General features: G+C 48.4%; 1 protein-coding gene and 1 long non-coding RNA gene across 8 annotated transcripts in view; one reads left to right on the top strand and one right to left on the bottom strand.

Annotated features, from left to right (window-relative positions):
• LOC102725238 (uncharacterized) overlaps positions 1-16,017 on the bottom strand; it is a 27,071-nt gene extending 11,054 nt beyond the window's left edge. Inside the window, exons 1-4 of one of the 6 annotated variants that reach the window (XR_934763.2) lie at positions 15,932-16,017; positions 15,462-15,626; positions 14,142-14,313; positions 2,812-2,938 (exon numbers count right to left, since the gene is read on the bottom strand). This is a non-coding gene — a long non-coding RNA (uncharacterized LOC102725238). Of the gene's footprint in view, positions 1-2,811; positions 2,939-11,669; positions 11,712-14,141; positions 14,314-15,461; positions 15,890-15,931 lie in introns of those variants that run through there. The other 5 variants (XR_007065758.1, XR_934762.3, XR_001752890.3 and 2 more) reach the window with 5 other exon arrangements.
• The window catches only part of CAVIN1 (caveolae associated protein 1), a 20,808-nt gene continuing 17,245 nt past the window's right edge, over positions 15,948-19,510 (top strand). For both annotated transcript variants that reach the window (NM_012232.6, XM_005257242.5), the window contains exon 1: positions 15,948-16,577. In NM_012232.6, coding sequence (NP_036364.2) covers positions 16,107-16,577 — 471 coding nt within the window. In that variant the 5' untranslated portion in view covers positions 15,948-16,106. The remainder of the gene's footprint in view (positions 16,578-19,510) is intronic.

Here is a 19,510-nt window from a genome sequence, read left to right as displayed (position 1 = left end):
ATCTGCCCACCTCAGCCTCCCAAAATGCTGGGATTAAAGGCTTGAGCCACAGCACCCGGCCTGAGCCCAGAGGTTCTAGACCAGCCTAAGCAACATAGCAAAACCTCATCTCTCTCTCTCTCTCTCTATCTCTCCATATACATATATATATATTTGGCCAGGGGTGGTGGCGCTTGCCTATAATCCCAGATACTTGGGAGACTGAGGTGGGAGAATCACTTGAAACTAGGATGTGGAGGTTGCAGTGAGCCGAGATCGTGCCTCTACACTTTAGCCTGTGCAACAAAGGGAGACTCCATCTCAAAAAAAAAAAGATAACCTGACACTGGAAAAGTCTGGCAGATACCACCTTAACCTAATGATCAAGGCTAACATCACTAGTAATGGGGAAATCAAAATTGTGTACCACCTGACAGGATGCAATGAGAGCACAGCATCCCTTTCATGCTATTCCTGCTAAAGATAATACATTTCCTAAATCTAATCATGAGGAAACATCAGACAAGTCCAAACTGAGCAACATTTTGCAGATTAATTGTCCTATGATCATCAAAAGTGTCAAGGTTATGAAAGCCAAAGAAAGAATATTTCCCTGACTGAAGGATACTAAAACGATGCAGTAACTGCTAAGCATTACGTCTAATTGGATCGTTTATGCATAAAAGACATTATTGGGATAAATGGTGAAATTTTATCAGCTGCTGAGGATTAATTTCCTGATACTGATTATTGTATTATGGTTACAAAATGTATGTTGTCTATGTGGTTATGTATGTGTGTTTGGAGAAAATACACACTAAAGTATTTGGGGGTGATAAAACTTGTCAGGTTGTCAACTTACTTGCAAATAGTTCATGAAGAAATAATACTTTTGTACTTTAAAAAACAATTCTGGGCCGGGAGCGGTGGCTCACGCCTGTAATCCCAGCACTTTGGGAGGCCGAGGCGGGCAGATTGCCTGAGCTCAGGAGTTCACGACCAGCCTGGGCAACATGGTGAAACCCCATCTCTACTAAAATACAAAAAAATTAGCCAGATGTGGCAGCATGCACCTGTAATCCCAGCTACTCAGGAGGCTGGGGCAGGAGAATTGCTTGAACCCGGGAGGTGGAGGTTGCAGTGAGCCAAGATCACTGCACTCCAGCCTGGGCGACAGAGCAAGACATCATCTCAAAAAAAAAAAAAAAAAAAAACACTGTAAATTTAAAATAATTTAAACGTTTTAAAAGTGAATTTTTTGGCCGGGCACAGTGGCTCATGCCTGTAATCCTAGCACTTTGGGAGGCCGAGGTGGGCAGATCACCTGAGGTCAGTAGTTCAAGACCAGCCTAGCCAACATGACAAAACCCTATCCCTACTAAAAATACAAAAAGTAGCTGGGCATGGTGGCAGGAGCCTATAATCCCAGCTACTTGGGAGGCTGAGGCAGGAGAATTGCTTGAACCCAGGAGGTGGAGGTTGCATTAAGCTAAGATTGTGCCACTTCACTCCAGCCTGGGCAAAAGAGCAAAACTCCGTCTCAAAAAATAAAATAAATAAATAAAAATAAAAGTGAATTTTTTTTCCAGATAGCCACTTCAATTTTGATTACTCTTATCCTGGAGCTGCTAAACATTGATTGATATATTTTATATCCATTTGTATTGTATATAATTTGCTTATTTGGGAATTCTTCTTCTACTTCTTAACATTTATTTCCTCAATGAGATTTTTTTTTTTTTTTTTCAGACAGAGTCTCACTCTGTCGCCCAGGCTGGAGTGCAGTGATGCGATCTTGGCCACTGCAACCTCCGTCTCACAGGTTCAAGCGATTGTCCTGCCTCAGCCTCCCAAGTAGCTGGGATTACAGGCATGTACCACCACACCTGGCTAATTTTTGTGTTTTTAGTAGAGACAGGGTTTCACCATGTTGGCCAGGCTGGTCTCGAACTCCTGACCTCAAGCAATCCACCTGCCTCGGCCTCCCAGAGTGCTGGGATTACAGGCGTGAGTCACCACGCCTGGCCTTTTTTTGAGACGGAGTCTCACTGTCACTCAGGCTGGAGTGCAGTGGCATGATCTTGGCTTACTGCAACCTCTGCCTCCCAGGTTCAAGCAACCTTTTCCTGCCTTGGCCTCCCGAGTAGCTGGGATTACAGGCGCGCTCCACCATGCCCAGCTGATTTTTGTATTTTTAGTAAAGACGGGATTTCGCCATGTTGCCCAGGCTGGTCTCAAACTCCTGACCTCAAATGATCTGCCTGCCTCGGCCTCCCAAAGTGCTGGGATTACAGGCATGACCTACCGCGCGCGGCCCTCATTGAGATTTTTAAACACCCAAAGAATACAGATTATGCTTTTGTTTCTCTTGTATTAATATTCCTTTGTGGTCTCAAGTAGCCACTCTTAGCCACTTGTAAACACTAAAGGGTTTGGAGCATATGAATAATCTGACTAGCTCAGTTGACGCTTTCAATTTAAGCCCATGGAAAAACCGTTTAAATCATCTCTCTTAAGTCATATGATGGATCTGTGGACTACATCTGTGCTGATTGCTCTTTCATACCAATCAGAGGCCCCTGGGATTCATAGGAATACACGTCTCCATGGAAAAATGAGTCACTCCACCAACGCACAGCTGGACTCTCACACTCAGAGCACAATAGAAATGTGGAAATCTAAGTGAAGCACAAGGAATCTGTAACTGAACAAGAGTTTACACTCTTCCTGTTCTGTTAGGTTGTGAAATGGAAACACCGTTTCCTGGGAAAAGGGCCCGATTCCACAAATGAAATGGTTTTGCTTTAATATGCACAGCTGCTAAACACTTACTGCGTTTACTGAAAGTGGCTTGTTTGAAAGGTCTGGTCTTGGTTCCAGCTGGAAAGTTGAAAGGAAGGGGCTCTTCTCTTGTGCAACAAAATGGGTTTAACAGAAACAGTCTCTTTGAACACCAGTTCTGAATTGGTTCAAGTGAGAGAAAGGGAAAAGGGTCATGCACATTATTTGCCACACATTGTGTATCAAACATTTTGATATGTCCCTTTACAGATGTGAACACATTTCATCCTTAAAACAACCTTAGTATTTTTTATTATGGGAAACTTCAGGCGGGGCTTGGTGGCTCACGTCTGTAATCCCAGCACTTTGGGAGGCTGAGGCGGGCAGATCACTTGAGGTAAGGAGTTGGAGACCAGCCTGGCCAACATGGTGAAACCCTGTCTCTAATAAAAATACAAAAATAAGCCAGGCGTGGTGGTGGGTGCCTGTAAACCTAGCTACTCGGGAGGCTGTGGCAGGAGAATCACTTGAACCCAGGTGTCAGAGGTTGCAGTGAGCCGAGATCGTGCCACTGCACTCCAGCCTGGGAGACAGAGCAAGACCCTGTCTCAAAAAATAATACAATACAATACAATACCATACAATACAATACAATACAATACAATACAATACAATACAATACAATACAATACAATACAATACAATACAATACAATGGTGTAGTATTGGCATATAACCTAATGCACATCCTCTCATATACTTTAAATCATCTCTAGCTTACTTAGGCCTAATACGATGCCCACACATCACTTCATTTTTGTGGATTCAACACAGTACTTGGCAAATTCATATTTTGCTTTTTGGAATTTTGTGGAATTTTTTTCCTAATAATTTCTATCCACAGTTGGTTGAATCCATGGGTGTGGAACCTAAGGATACAGAAGGCAGAGACGGGATAATGAATCCCTATGTACATATCACCCAGCTTCAACCATAATCAACAAATAGTCCAGCTTGTTTCATTTATATCCCATCTACTTCCGCCAGAATTATTGTGAATCAAATCTTAGATGTGATATCATATCATCTGTAAATACTTCAGTATATATCTCAAAAATGTACGAATTTTTTAAAAACATAACCACAATGCTGCTATCATACTTAAATTTTTTTTTTTTTTGAGATAGGGTCTCACTCTGTCGCTCAGGCTGGAGTGCAGTGGCACAAGCCCAGCTCATTGCAGCCTCCACCTCCCAGGCTCAAGCCATTCTCCCGCCTCAAAAAAATAAATAAATAAATACAAAGATTAGTGAGTGGGTTGAGTTGTTACTTTGATATAATAGAGTTCCCCACAATTTTCTGCCTAATAGTTTTAGCGGGCATTAATGATCATTAGCTCATTTTTTCACTAGAGGCTACAAAATAGTGACATTTTAATCCATCATTCCTTCTTTATTTATGAGCTGAAATTATTTTATAAATAAGTGCTTTCCTTCACCCAGCCGCTATTTGGTTACACAGAGGTACAATCCAAACAGAAAAGGTAAGATTTTTTTTTTTTTTTGGAACAGAGTTTCACTCTTGTCCACCAGGCTAGAGTGCAATGGAGTGATCACTGCAACCTCTGCCTCCTGGGCCCAAGTGATTCTCCTGCCTCAGTCTCCCGAATAGCTGGGATTACAGGTGTGCACAAGCACGCCCGGCTAATTTTGGTATTTTTAGTAGACACAAGGCTTCACCATGTTGGCCAGGCTGGTCTTAAACTCCTGACCTCAAGTGATCCTCTTGCCTCGGCCTCCCAAAGTGTTAGGATTACAGGCATGAGCCACTTCATCCGGCCAGAAAAGGTAGGATTAATGCTTCATTGATTCTCTTTATTTGCCAATTTGTTTGTTTGTTTGAGACAGAGTCTTGCTCTGTCACCCAGGCTGGGATACAGTGGCGTGATCTCAGCTCACTGCAACCTCTACCTCCCGGGTTCAAGTGATTCTCCTGCCTCAGCCTCCCAAGTAGCTGGGACTACAGGCATGCGCCACCACACCCGGCTAGTTTTTGTATTTTTTGGTAGAGACAGGGTTTCACCATGTTGGCCAGGGTGATCTTGAACTCCTGACCTCAAATGATCCGCCTGCCTTGGCCTCCCAAAGTGCTGGAATTACAGGCGTGAGCCACTGCACCCAGCCAAAATTGTAATATTTTAGACTCCTCCTTCTCCTTCAGTATCTACATGTACTCATTCATCAAGCCCTAATGGTTTTCATGCTATAGTGCTCACCCATCAGTCCTCTCTCTGTGCCCCGTAATGCTCTAGTTCAAATGATCATCTTCCCCTGCTGGGACTATTGCAGTAGTCTCCTGTTAGATCTCCTTTTTTCTAGTCCCAGCACCTTCCAAACTATCATTTACAGTTTTTCAAATCAATTTTCATTCTAAAATGCATTATGAATTGGAAGGAAAAGGTTGGAGACACAGAGACAAACTAGGAAAGTACAGTAACAGCCATCAGCTGGTAACAACAGGATCAGACAGACAGTCACAGAAATGGGAATTACAGGGGAGTGATAATGAAGGAAGGAAGGCAGGATCTGGGATTTCATTTGCTTTAGTAGATGAGAGAAAGAGAGGAGATAAATATAATTCTAAGGTTGGAGTCTCTGGTGTTTGATAGGACGGTCCCACCATCAACAGAAATAAGCCAAGAAGCATTCTAGCTTTTGAGGAAAGATATTTGGTTTAGGCGGGGCATGGTGGCTCACGCCTGTAATCCCAGCACTTTGGAAGGCTGAGGTGGGTGGATTATGAGGTCAGGAGTTCGAGACCAGCCTGACCAACATGGTGAAACCCCGTCTCTACTAAAAATACAAAAATTAGCCAGACGTGGTCATGCGCACCTGTAATCCCAGCTACTCGGGAGGCTTAAGCAGGAGAATTGCTTGAACCCAGGGGGCAGAGGTTGCAGTGAGCCGAGATTGTGCCACTGTATTCCAGCCTGGGTGACAGAGCAAGACTCCGTCTAAAAAAAAAATTAGCCTGTTGTGACCAGTAGTCCAAGCTACTTGGGAGGCTGAGGAAGGAGGATGGCTAGAGACCAGTAGTTTGAGGTTGCAGTGAGCCATGATTGTGCCATTGCACACCAGCTTGGGCAACAGGGAGACTGTCTCTTAAAAAAACAAAAAAATGGAAACAACTCAAACGTCCATCAGCTGATGAATGGATAAACAGCATGGGGCATATTTATACAACGGAATATAGCCATAAAGAGGAATGAAGTATTGATACATGCTACAACATAGATCAACCTTGAAAACATGCTAAGTAAAAGAAGCGAGACACAAAAGGCTACAAATTGTATGATTCCATTCATATGAAGTGTTCAGAACAGGAAAATCTATAGAGACTTAAAACTTACTGGTTGCTAGGGGACAGGGAAGAGAGGAGTGGGGAGTGACAGCTAATGGGTATGAGGTAACAGTGGTGAATTTCACCTGAGCCCTGTGCTCTTGGAAAACATCCAAGGTTAAAGGAATCCCCTATGTTTTTGTTTACTGCCAAGAACCACCCTTCCCCATGTGACTCGCAGATGCCCCCCATTGTTTACCTGTGACAGGAACAGACACAGAACTTCAAATTCTTATTCTCTGCCTCATGAATGACCAGCTAAACTGGTTTTCCCAACACTGATCACGATGAACAAAATGCTCATTAAACAAATTTTGTTGGTTCAGCGTGGTGGCTCACACCTGTAATCTCAGCACTTTGGGAGGCCAAGGTGGGCAGATCACCTGAGGTCAGGAGTTCAAGGCCAGCCTGGCCAACATAGTGAAACCCGTTTCTACAAAAATACAAAAATTAGCCGGGCATGATGGCGTGTGTCTGTAATCCCAGTTACTCAGGAGGCTGAGGTGGGAGAATCACTTGAACCCGGGAGGCGGAGGTTGCAGTGAGCCGAGATCACGCCATTGTACTCCAGCCTGGGTGACAGAGTGAGACTCCGTCTCAAAAATAAATAAATAAATAAAAGGCTGGGCTCGGTGGCTTAAGCCTGTAATCTGAAGTTGGGACTTCGAGACCAGGCTGACCAACATGGAGAAACCCTGTCTCTACTAAAAATACAAAAAATTAGCCGGGCATGGTGGCGCATGCCTGTAATCCCAGCTACTCGGGAGGCTGAGGCAGGAGAATCTCTTAAACCTGGGAGGCGGAGGTTGCTATGAGCCAAGATAGCGCCAGTGCACTCCAACCTGGACAACAAGAGCGAAACTCCGTTTCAAAAAAAAAAAATAACACATTTTGTTTAAGCTTTTCTTCTTCCTCCAGGCCCTGAACTCTGGCCCACCCTCACTGGGCCTGAGCCAGCACACAACCCCTCCTGAGGATAGCCTGACCTCAGGGTAAAACATTCTCTGATCTATTCTCTCATCAGGCCACTTTCCTCCTATTCTCTACACCTGGTTCTTTCTAGCTTTGTTTACTCCTCTCTATAAAAGGAAAAAGGTCTGGCCCTTAAGACATTTGCAGAACTATGGGCCGATCCTTCTCCCTATTGCAATAGACTCCCTCCCCGTATTGCAACAGTCTTTTTCCCCTCCTTGCAAACATTCTTTAGGATAAAGTCTCCCTTTAGTGTTTTTTCTTTGTCGGGGGCTTTCTGGGGGCTGATGAAAGTTGATTCTTGCACAACATTGTGAATATGGTAAAATCTATTCAATTGTATGCTTTAGGTGAATTGTGTGGTATGTGAATTCTACCTCAATAAAGTTATATTGTTTAACCTTTTAAAGCAGTATTAAAAGCTTTTTTTTTTTTTTTGTCCAAATGTACCAGTTTATGCTTGTAATCCCAACACTTTGGGAAGCCGAGCCTAGGAGTTTGAAACCAGCCTGGGAAACAGCGAGATCCCATCTCTACGACAATTTTTGAAAATTAGCTGGGTACAGTGGCTCATGCCTGTAACCCCAGCACTTTGGAAGGCTGAGGCAGGCGGATCGCTTGAGCTCAGGAGTTCAAGACCAGCCTGGAGAACATAGTGAGACCTTGTCTCTACAAAAATACAAAAGTAAGTCAGGTGTGGTGGTGCATGCCTGTAGTCCCAGCTACTTGGGAGGCTGAGGTAGGAGGATTGCTTGAGCCTGGGAGGTTGAGGCTGCAGTAAGCTGTGATCATGCCACTGCACTCCAGCCTGGGCAACAGAACAAGACCCTGTTTCAATATAAATAAATAAATAAAGCTATTTAAAAAAAGAAAATGAAAGGAAGAAAAAATAAGCTAGCAAATGGGACAAGTAAATAAAAATAGTACAGTGTCCAAGGCTAAGAGGGAAGAATCTCAAAGATAAATTGGTCAGCAGTGCTAAATCAGAGTTCAAATAAAATTAGAAAAGGCTGGGTGTGGTGGCTCATGCCTGTAATCCCAACAGTTTGGAGGCAAAGGCAGGAGCTTAGGAGTTTGAGACCAGCCTGGGCAACAACATAAAAAAAGAAGAAAGAAAGAAAGAAAAGGAGAAACAATTGGTGGAATCTAGGGTTTCTTAGTTTTGCTTTTTTTTTTGAGACAGGTTCTCACTCTGTCACCCAGGCTGGAGTGCAGTGGTGCGATCTTGGCTCACTGCAGCCTCTGCCCCCTGGGCTCAAGCAATCCTCCCACCTCAGCCTCCCGAGTTGCTGGGACCACAGGCACACGCTGCCATGCCTGGCTAATTTTTGTATTTTTAGTAGAGACGGGGTTTTACCACTTTGCCCACGCTGGTAAAACTGTATGTATTTTGCTTTATTTTCTGCAGCCCCCTTCTCCTGTTTTTTTGTATTTTCTGTTTGTTAGCCTGAATCACTGCTTCTCTGAAACTAAAATTCCCACTCCACAGCAAAAGTGCTGGTTGTGTCCTTTGGATGGTTTCTAGCACCAAACTATGCATAAATTAGCACTTAATAAATAATTTTGACTGTTTTCTGGTTCAGGGAAGTTACCCTATATATTAATATTTGAAGGCAAAGAAAGGAAGGGATTTTGAGAAAGAGAAACATACAAATATTATAGGCATTTTTCATATATGTATATCAGAGAGACAAGAATAGTGCCTATAAAACTGGCAAAAAAAAAATCACTGTTGTTTGTGGCAGCTGTGAGCCAGCTGCTGAGGGCTAGCCTCCCATGTGAGACGGTTGTCCCAATGTGAAGACACATCATTTGTCCCAGCTGTTTATTATTAACAAAACACACAGTCTCCCTGGGATCTCTCCCAGCACAGATCCAAAACTGAACAGAACATATTACATATTACACCCTTTGCTGGATCTCCCTAAATGTAAACTGATAAGACTTATGGCAGAACCATGATAAGAGGAGATGAGCAGTGCTTGGCTATTCCCCAGTGCCCTTTCACACCGCAAGATACTGGGTTTGGGAGGGGGTCCTTTCCCCCTCCTTTGTACCTACCCTCACCTGTGAACCCTTCCCCACTCTTCCTGAGAGTAGTGACTGCTTTCCCTATGCTGGGGGGGAGCTTTCAGCTGTGTCAGACACTATGCATCTGGCCAGGTGCAGAGTTTCACACCTGTAATGCCAGCACTTTGGGAGGCCGAGGTGAACAGATCACTTGAGCCCAGGAGTTCAAGAGTGGCCTGGGAAATATGGCAAAACCCCATCTCTACAAAAAAAAAAAAAAAAAAAAAATTTAGCCAGGTGTAGTGGCATACAGCTGTAGTCCCAACTACATGGGAGGCTGATAGGAGGCTCACCTGAGCTCAGGAAGTCGAGGCTGCAACAAGCTGAGATCGCACCACTGCACTCAAGCCTGGACAACAGAATGTGACTTTGTCTTTAAAAAAAAAAAAAATGCTGGGGGTGGCCAGGCGTGGTGTCTCATGCCTGTAATCCCAGCACTTTGGGTGGATCACCTGAGATCAGGTGTTTGAGACCAGCCTGGCCAACATGGTAAAACCCATCTCTACTCAAAATACAAAAATTAGCTGGGCATGGTGCTGTGTGCCTGTAATCCCGGCTACTCAGGAGGCTGAGGCAGGAGAATCACTTGAACCCGGGAGGCGGAGGTTGCAGTGAGCCAAGATCGCGCCACTGCAGTCCAGCCTGGCAACACAGCGAGACTCCGTCTCAAAAAAAAAAAAAAGGCCGGGTGCAGTGGCTCACGCCAATAATCCCAGCACTTTGGGAGGCCGAAGCAGGCGGGTCACCTGAGATCAGGAGTTCAAGACCAGCCATGGCCAACATGGCGAAACCCCAACTCTATAAAAATTAGCCAGATGTGGTGGTGGGTGCCTGTGATCCCAGGTACTTGGGAAGCTGAGGGAGGAGAATCTGGGAGGCAGAGGTTGCAGTGAGCTGAGATGGCGCCACTGTACTCCAGCCTGGGCAACAGTGAGACTCCGTCTCAAAAAAAAAAAAAAAAAAAAAAGGACTAGACTTGATTTATCCTCATTAAAGTCCCTAGCCCAGTAAATGGCTAGTGCGAAGTAGTCATGTTTTATTGAACAAGTAGATGGATGGAAGAATACGATAGAGCACCCTGTAAGATTCTAACTGCTGACATGTTGCATCCTGGTGTCCTTTTTCTGGGCCAAAGGGGTTGTTTGCTTTTACCTCACTATCCCTTTTATGGATTCTGTCTCAGTGGCTGAAAGCACACAATGGAACAGTGTGCCTTTCAGCAAGCAAATAGAGTGAGCAATGGAAAATGCAAACCAACAACCCTGAATGCAGGCAATGGCATGCTGAATGCAGTTACAAATGAAGAGAAACTGCTTATTTTCACTGGAATGGAGTGAAATGCTCTGGAAAGGACTGCTCTGCTCCAGTTTGCGGCATCTGTGCTGGTGGAGCTAGTACAATATGCCTCAGCATGCCCCCTGTTGGACTTAGCTGGCATTTAGTAAGAAAAGGAATGTGAGAGAAACTTGTTGATGCAGATTTTTCTCCAACATAGGCATGCAGGGGTAGGGCCCTTTTACAGAAATCATCCATTAAGGAGGCATTAAATGAGTCAGAGATGTATTCACTGGACTACCCCTGGGACATAACTTGACTCATCCACAAATTCTGACATTCCTGTTTGAAGAAGTGGTATAGAAATACTTTCCTGATGAGGCTGGGCACAGTGGCCCATTCCTGTAATCCCAGCACTTCAGGAGGCCAAGACGGGAGGATCACTTGAGCCCAGGAGTTCAAGACCAGCCTAGGCAACGTGGCAAAACCCCATGGCTGGGACTCTGTCTCTACAAGAAATTTAAAAATTAGCCAGGTGTGGTGGTGTGTACCTGTGGTCCCAGCTACTCTGGAGGCTGAGTTGGGAGGATTGCTTGAGCCCAGCAGTTCGAGGCTGCAGTAAGCCCTGATTGAGCAACTGCACTCCAGCCTAGGCAACAGAATGAGATCCTGCCTCAAAAGCAAAAAACAAAAACAAAAAAATCCCACTTGTCTTCAGCAACTCCTCCCCCATGAGATTTAAATTGTAATCTGTAAATGTCCATTGATAGGGAACTGGTTAAACAAATATAGTAGACGTATACATTGGAAAACAAGGCAGTTCTACATGTACTGATATGGAACTATCCATAAAACATATTAATAACTGAAAACAGGAAAGTGCTGAAATATATATATGTATGATCATATATGCAGAAATAGTCTATAGAAGATTCCGCAAGAGAATAGTAATAATAGGCTTGGCATGGTGGCTCACACCTGTAATCCCAGCACTTTGGGAGGCCGAGGTGGGTGAATCATCTGAGGTCAGGAGTTCAAGACCAGCCTCGCCAACATGGTAAAACTCCTTCTCTACTAAAAATACAAAAATTAGCCAGGCGTAGTGGCACATGCCTGTAATCTCAGCTACTTGGGAGGCTGAGGCATGAGAATTGCTTGAACCCGGGAGGCAGAGGTTGCAGTGAGCCGAGATGGTGCCACTATACTCTAGCCTGGGAAACAAGAGCAAAACTCCACCTAAAAAAAAAAAAGAGAATATAGTAATAATTGATGTCTCCTGGAAAAGAAACTAGTTGCTGGGATAGAGATAAAATTTTTTAGAGGCCGGGTGCTGTGGCTCATGCCTGTAATCCCAGCACCTTGGGAGGCCGAGGTGGGTGGATCACCTGATGTCAGGAGTTCGAGACCAGGCTGACCAACCTGGTGAAACCCCGTCTCTACTAAAAGTACAAAAAATTAGCTGGGCGAGGCCAGGCACAGTGGCTCACGCCTGTAATCCCAGCACTTTGGGAGGCCGAGGCAGGCGGATCATGAGGTCAGAAGATCGAGACCATGCTGGCTAACATGGTGAAACCCCGTCTCTACTAAAAATACAAAACATTAGCCAGGCGTGGTGGCAGGCACCTGTAGTCCCAGCTACTTGGGAGGCTGAGGCAGGAGAATCGCTTGAACCCAGGAGGCGGAAGGTGCAGTGAGCTGAGATCATGCCATTGCACTCCAGCCTGGGCAACAGAGCAAGACTCCGTCTCAAAAAAAAAAAAAAATTAGCTGGGCATGGGGGCACACACCTGTAATCCCAGCTACTTGGGAGGCTGAGGCAGGAGAATCGCTTGAACCCGGGAGGTGGAGGTTGCAGTGAGCCGAGATTGTGCCATTGCACTCTAGCCTGGGTGACAGAGAGAGACTCCATCTCAAAAAAAAAAATGATAATAATAATAATCATCATCATCTAAGGATCTTATGGGACACTTAAGAAATGAAGGTCCTATAAGGTTCTCTACTGTCACTCCTCTTTTTTCCAAAAGCTTTTTCAATCCTTAGTAGAAGGAATTTAAATTACTTTAATACATTTCTCCTAAATTCTAAAGTAAGTTGGTAATCTGCCAGTTCTAGCAGTTATATGTGTATATATGATCTTATATACTAGCTTAATTCTACTTGAGCCTCAAATGAGAAAGCCATTTGTTTGTGAGAAAACAGTTATTGAAGTGTTAGGGTACCCGGTGTGGTGGCACACCTGTAGTCCAAGCTACTTGAGAGGGTGAGGTGGGAGGATCACTTGAGTCCAGGAGGTCAAGACTGCAGTGAGCTGTGATTGTGCCACTGCACTCAGCCTGCATGACAGAGCAAGACCTTGTCTCAAAAAAAAAAAAAAAGTTGGAAAAAACACAAAGCCGAAGTGGCTCACGCCTGTATTCCTAGCATTTTGGGAGGCCAAGGCAGGTGGATCCCTTGAGCCTAGGTGTTTGAGACCAGCGTGGGCAACACGGTGAAACCCCATTTCTACAAAAAATACAAAAATTAGCTGGGTGTGATGGTGTGCGCTTATAGTCACAGCTATTTGGGAGGCTGAGGTGGGAGGATCACCTGAACCCGGGAGTTCGAGGCTGCAGGGTCAACAGAGTGAGACTCTGTCTTAAAAAAAAAAAAAAAAAGGCGGGGCACAGTGGCTCACACCTGTAATCCCAGCACTTTGGGAGGCCAAGGTGGGTGGATCACGAGCTCAAGAGATTGAGACCATCCTGCCCAACATGGCGAAACCCCGTGTCTACTAAAAATACAAAAAAAAAATTATCTGGGTGTGGTGGTGCGTGCCTGTAGTCCCAGGTACTCGGGAGGCTGAGGCAGAAGAATCGCTTGAACCCAGGAAGTGGAGGGTGCAGTGAGCCAAGACTGCACCACTACACTCCAGCCTGGCAAAAGAGTGAGACTCCATCTCAAGAAAAAAAAAAAAAAAAAGGAAAAAAAGAGGTTACCAGTAACCACGTATCTTGCCTTTCTAGCAGAAACAGTACTTCAGGATAACCTGATAAACAGCCCTAGTTGATGGCTCCATTTTCTATGAGAATTTCGGATAACAAATATGGTGTTGTAAACCCTTAAAAAACCCTACAATGTTGTTAGGGCACTAACCCAGTCCCTGCACTGTCGGTCTCCTTTCTGAGTTTGTGGGTTCTCTGTCTGGGTTGAGGAGGCCCTGGGTCCCCATAGACCAGTTTTTCACTCTTCCTAATGATAATGGATACCAGACTAGAAGTGACCTTTTGCCAGGACCATCATCCAGCCAGCTGGGGAAACCCAAGTGTGGTTTCCTAAGGAGGGAAAAGGGTTGCCGCTTTTCTGTGGGAAAGGGAGCTGGCGCCACTTCAGACACTCACAGCACCAGTGCTGTGCTAGACAGCAAAATGGGGGAGGATGGGCAGCCTCCCTATTTCTGGACTTTCTGCACTAAGGACCCTCCTTGGGCCTGCTCAGAATTGCCTGCTCCCTTGTACCCAGCATGGATGAAAATATGCTTTGGTTAATCTTCTGAAACAGCACATGGGAGTTGGGGAGTGGCTGTGGGTGCCTGTCTCCCTGCCCCAGTGGAAGGCTTAGAGCAGAAGGTGGAAAGAGCATGAAAGCAGGAGTCCAGACCTGGGTTCAAGTGCCAATGCCAACACTAACCTGCGAGTGATCTCTGGCAAGCCACCTGTCTTCTGCAGGCTTTCCTTTTCCTGTCTGTCAAATGAGGGGGTGGGATTTGATGGTCTCTCCGATGGCTTACTGTTAGTCCCTGGAATCTTGAAAGAGAAATGGACTCCTAGATCCTGCTCACTGAGATTGGTGTCAGCTGCCTCTGAGGGGGCGGTGGGAGGGGGAACACAGGGAAAGGTGAGTTTTAGAGAGAGGTGAGACGTGGGTTTGTGGGTTGCTTTTGTTTTTGTTTTTTTTGTTTTTTTGAGACAGAGTCTCACTCTGTCTGCACTCAGACAGTGGATTACCAACTGGCAGATTACCAACTTACTTTAGAATTTAGGAGAAATGTATTAAAGTAATTTAAATTCCTTCTACTAAGGATTGAAAAAGCTTTTGGAAAAAAGAGGAATTCTACTCTGTAGAATTCCACTCAGGCTGGAGTGCAATGGCGCGAATCTCAGCTCATTGCAACCTCTGCCCCCCGGGTTCAAGTGATTCTCCTGCCTCAGCCTCCCGAATAGCTGGGATTACAGGCATGCGCCACCACGCCTGGCTAATTTTGTATTTTTAGTAGAGATGGGGTTTCTCCATGTTGGTCAGGCTGAGGTCGAACTCCCGACCTCAGGTGATCCACCCACCTCCGCCTCCCAAAATGAGCCACTGCGCCTGGCCTAATTTTTGTATTTGTAACAGAGACGGGGTTTCACCATCTTGGGCCAGGCTGGTCTTGAACTCCTGACCTCGTGATCCACCCGCCTGGGCCTCCCAAAGTGCTGGGATTACAGGCATGAGCCACCGCGCCTGGCCTAAGAGAGGTGGGCTTTTAAAAAGGGCTTTACACCAGGCGCGGTGGCTCCCAGCACTTTGAGAGGCTGAAACCAGCAGATCACTTGAGCTCAGGAGTTCGAGACCAGCCTGGTCAAAATAGTGTACACCCCGTCTCTTAAAAAAATAAAAATTGAAAAAAATAAAAATTGAAATTAGCTGGGCGTGGTGGCAAGCGCCTATAGTCTCATCTACTCAGGAGGCTGAAGTGGGAGGATTGCCTGAGCCCAAGAGGTCGAGGCTGCAGTGAACTGTGATCAGACCGCTGCACTCCAGCCTGGGTGACAGAGTGACACCCTGTCTCAGAAAGGGGGGTTGGGAGGTGGGCTTTATTTTCCGTTTGATTGCCCATCTTAATTCTACTCTGTTAGGGCAATTCTAAAAAGAACTTAGAGGAGCTTCGCAGCCCTTCACCACCACCGTGACCCCAAATACGTTCTCTCTTTCTCCCCCCGCCCCCCACAAACAACCCCCTAAGCTTACCCCTGAGTTAGTAACCTGGTTGGGGTTGGTGATGAGGAAATCCGAGAGGCCTCTTAGAAAATATTGTAAAGGGCAAGGGTCCTTTTGTGCTCAAAATCTAGGTAAAGGCAAATACAAGATTTTGCCTATAATTTCAGAATCTCCTGGTCCACCCGGCTCCCAGATCTTGAGGATTTTCGGATGAGCAATTCAAGTGAGAGGGAAACAGAGAGCAACACTCTTAGAACCTGATTCCGTTCCTCAGCTCGCATTCCTCCGCCCGTCCCGCTCCCGCCGCCAGCGGAGGCCCTAGTCTCCCGCTCCAACTATTCCAACCATCCCGGGAAGGGTGGGGCGCTCGGCTCTTGGGTCCCCCTCCGCCGCCCCGCCTCGTCGATCTCCCCTTCTGCCCCGGTCCCTCCCTTTCTGGGGTGGGGCCAGCCAATCAGCGATCAGACTCCGGAGTTTGGCCCGGGAGCTGGGGAGCTCACCGATCCCCCGCCCAGCAGTTCTGGCCGCTGTCCCGGTGCGCACGGACGTGGCTCGAGTTTCCTCTGCTCTCCGCTCTCGCCCGCTAGCTCTCCTCCCTTCCGCTCCTGCTTCTCTCCGGGTCTCCCGCTCCAGCTCCAGCCCCACCCGGCCGGTCCCGCACGGCTCCGGGTAGCCATGGAGGACCCCACGCTCTATATTGTCGAGCGGCCGCTTCCCGGGTACCCCGACGCCGAGGCCCCGGAGCCTTCCTCCGCTGGGGCTCAGGCAGCGGAGGAGCCGTCGGGGGCCGGCTCAGAAGAGCTGATCAAGTCGGACCAGGTGAACGGCGTGCTGGTGCTGAGCCTCCTGGACAAAATCATCGGGGCCGTAGACCAGATCCAGCTGACTCAAGCACAGCTGGAGGAGCGGCAGGCGGAGATGGAGGGCGCAGTGCAGAGCATCCAGGGCGAGCTGAGCAAGCTGGGCAAGGCGCACGCCACCACGAGCAATACGGTGAGCAAGCTGCTGGAGAAGGTGCGCAAGGTCAGCGTCAACGTGAAGACCGTGCGCGGCAGCCTGGAGCGCCAGGCGGGGCAGATCAAGAAGCTGGAGGTCAACGAGGCCGAGCTGCTGCGGCGCCGCAACTTTAAAGTCATGATCTACCAGGTGAGCCCACAGGGCGGAAGGCGCCCAGAGCTCCCGCGCCCGGCCCGCGTCCCCTGCCTGGGAGTTGGGGTGGGGAGACCTGCCCGTGGCGCTGCTCCCCTCCCAGCCTGGCCCGGGCGCCCGGCAGATCCACCCTCCTTCCGGTGAGCGCGGCTGGGGTGGGGTTGGGTGGGGTAGGATGGGGTGGAGGGAGCGGCGGACTCCTGGGGCGCGTAGAGGGGCGCGCTCTGCACCTCGCACCTCCCCACTCAGATCCTTCCCTCGGGTCCCAAACTTGTAGCAGAACCGAATTAGCGGGTGGACTCGAGGACGCTGCCCCTCGCAGACCGCTCCCTCCCTAATTGGCTCTGTCAAACTTCTTCCTACTTGGGGGAAGTTTCTAGGAAAGTCAGGGGTCCCTCGCGATCGTTGGGGTCCGCTGTAAGCGGACACTGGCTGCGGGGCCCGGGCCTGGGGCCTCTGCGCCTGCGGGCCTGATATAGCGGGTGATTCAGGGCTCAGGCACGCACCAGCGGGGGCTGTGCCAAGCGGGGAACGCGACCGCCAACCTCCTCCCCAGACCCTGCGCCCCCGCGCCCCCACATCGGCCTCGGCGGCCCACCCCTGTCCCCTCGCTGCTCTCTGCTCCTGGCCACCAGGCATTTTCAGGCCCTTGAGGACACCCTCACCCGCGGCGCGCTGGCACCCTGGGCCTCCTGGAAGCGGGCGGGGCTGGGCGGGGAAGAGTGGGCGTCAGGAGTGCAAGAGGGGCTGGTGGAGTGGGTGGACAGCCCCTGCGGGGTCCGGCGGTCTGGGCGCAGTCTGGGCGAGGTGAATCACCCCGCATGCCTGCGGGGGCGGGGGCCAGGCGCAGCAGCGCAGCCGGCGGGAGGAGGCTGGCGCCCCCACCCCCCGGCTCCGCCCGGGGCCACTTGTTGCTTTCTTTGCAGCTCTCCCCATTCTTCACACTTGGATAAAAATGTAGCTTTTGGATCATAACCCCCAATAAACCTGGGAGTCTCGGGTTTCTATGCTGCTCCTCTCCACGCCGCTTCCGCAGTGCCATCGGGGATGAGATTTTGGGCTGGGCGGCAAGTGTTCCAGCCTGGCTCCTCCCCGCCTCCCAAAGGCCTGCTGATGCTCCTAACCCCAGGGAGGCGGGATCGTGTGGGGCAGGGGGGTTAGTCTATGCTCCCCTCTCCCCTTCCTCTCCCTGCTGAAGGGAATGGAAAGAAAGGGAAGGCTGGATTTCCCACACCCTCCAAGTTAGAAGACCCCTTTCCGGGAGTTGTGGCTCTGCTGACTGCTCTGGGGCCTGGTCGAGCCGGGTTCTGAGTGACCATCTGGGGTGAGGCGAGGGGGTCCTTGGCTTGGTTTCCCCAGGAGGAGTTAAGATAGATGCAAATCAGGACAAGTATCTGGGAAGAGTAGAGACAGAAAGGTGGGTCAGCTGGTACCTATCTGAGGTGGTGGGACAGAGGCAGAAGTGGCACTTGTCCCCCTCCCCACCCTTACCCACGGATGACAGACTCCTCCCAGGAGGCATATACGTGGCTTTTAAAAGCTTTACTTCCCCTACTTAAGCACTATTTAGATAGAAAATGTTTGCCCAGAGCTATTTCCACTTAGTCTAACTGCTTGGAGGACGCAGGATGAGAGGGGGGCTTTTGACGTTTTTTAAGAGACCTGCTTAGTACTGGGGACATTGAGAGGAGCGGAACAAGACAGGGGTCTGGGACAGCAAGCCAGCTCTATATTTCCTCCAGAGCCTGGTGTGGCCGAGAGCCACCATGAAGAGCTCGAGGGGTGACCCTTCTCACGCTAACTATCCCAGACCATAGAACCTGGGAAAAGTCTTGGCCTGGAGGTAAACTTCCCTATGCCAAAGATGGAGATTCTGAGAGAAGAGGGAAAGGTATGGAGGGAGAAAGACTTATCTGCAGAGGCCACTGGCATCCCTCTGTTCTGCCCTCTCCAGCAATCTGCAGGGATATGTCTATATTTTAGGGGGTGGGAGGGAATGTGTTCTAATCACAGGTGGCTTCAAATGAATCTGCACTAAACCAAGGCCAGTGGGTGACAGAGAGTTGAGGTAGTAAGAGTAGCTCAAATGGAGTCCCAAACCCACAGAGGGAATAACTAAGAACTGAAATGGTCCCAACCTGGGGAAGACTTCAGACGTAAGGAAAAGATTCCAGCAAATGGGGTGAGGCTTGGGAAAGCAGAACTTCCCTGAGCTGCAGAGCAGATGTTCCAGGTGGGGACCCGGCTGCTGGAGGAAAGCAGAGGCTGCTCCTGCTCCTCCCAGAGGTCTGCAGGCCTGAGAAGGGAAGGAGGTAAAAATAGCTCTGTGCCTTGGCAGGCCTATTAGGGAAGATTGGGGGCAGCAGCATTTATGGTAAAGTCCGGCTGAAGGGGGAGGATGTTGGGTGGCCAGGCAAAGAGACAGAGATTTGGAGAAAGTTTCCTGGGATGGTGTGAATTCTCTGGAGGGGCCATAGGGGAAGGGATGCTGTATTCCCCACTACAGGGGTGGGAGGTGATGATGTGGCAGTGGGGGCGGGGCAGAGAACACCAAGGGATGGGAAGGCCCCCGTTGTGGGATGGAGACATCTGGCCTTCCATACCCTATTCCTGGGGAGAAAAGGAGGGAATCCCTTGTATGGCCCCACCCCAAATTCAGGGAACTTCTAGACTTAATGATTTCACAGCTTTAAGTTTGCATTTGAACACACACACACACACACACACACACACACACACACGAAATTCAGCACCTCCCACCCCAAGGTATCACAGCCCTCATCTTAAACTCACTTCTGAGTCATTACTGCCCTTCTCTGGCATTTCCTTCCCTGTCTCCCAAACAAAACCTAGCAGTTTGACATTGCATTCTATCAGGCGACACTTGGCTAGCAACAGCTAGTAAATGAGAGAAGTGAATTCTACTAGTT

Source organism: Homo sapiens, chromosome 17 (genome assembly GCF_000001405.40).
Source record: "Homo sapiens chromosome 17, GRCh38.p14 Primary Assembly".
In the NCBI taxonomy this organism is placed as follows: domain Eukaryota; kingdom Metazoa; phylum Chordata; class Mammalia; order Primates; family Hominidae; genus Homo; species Homo sapiens.
Note: the sequence above shows the minus strand (reverse complement) of the source record. Positions and strands in the feature narration are given on the sequence as shown.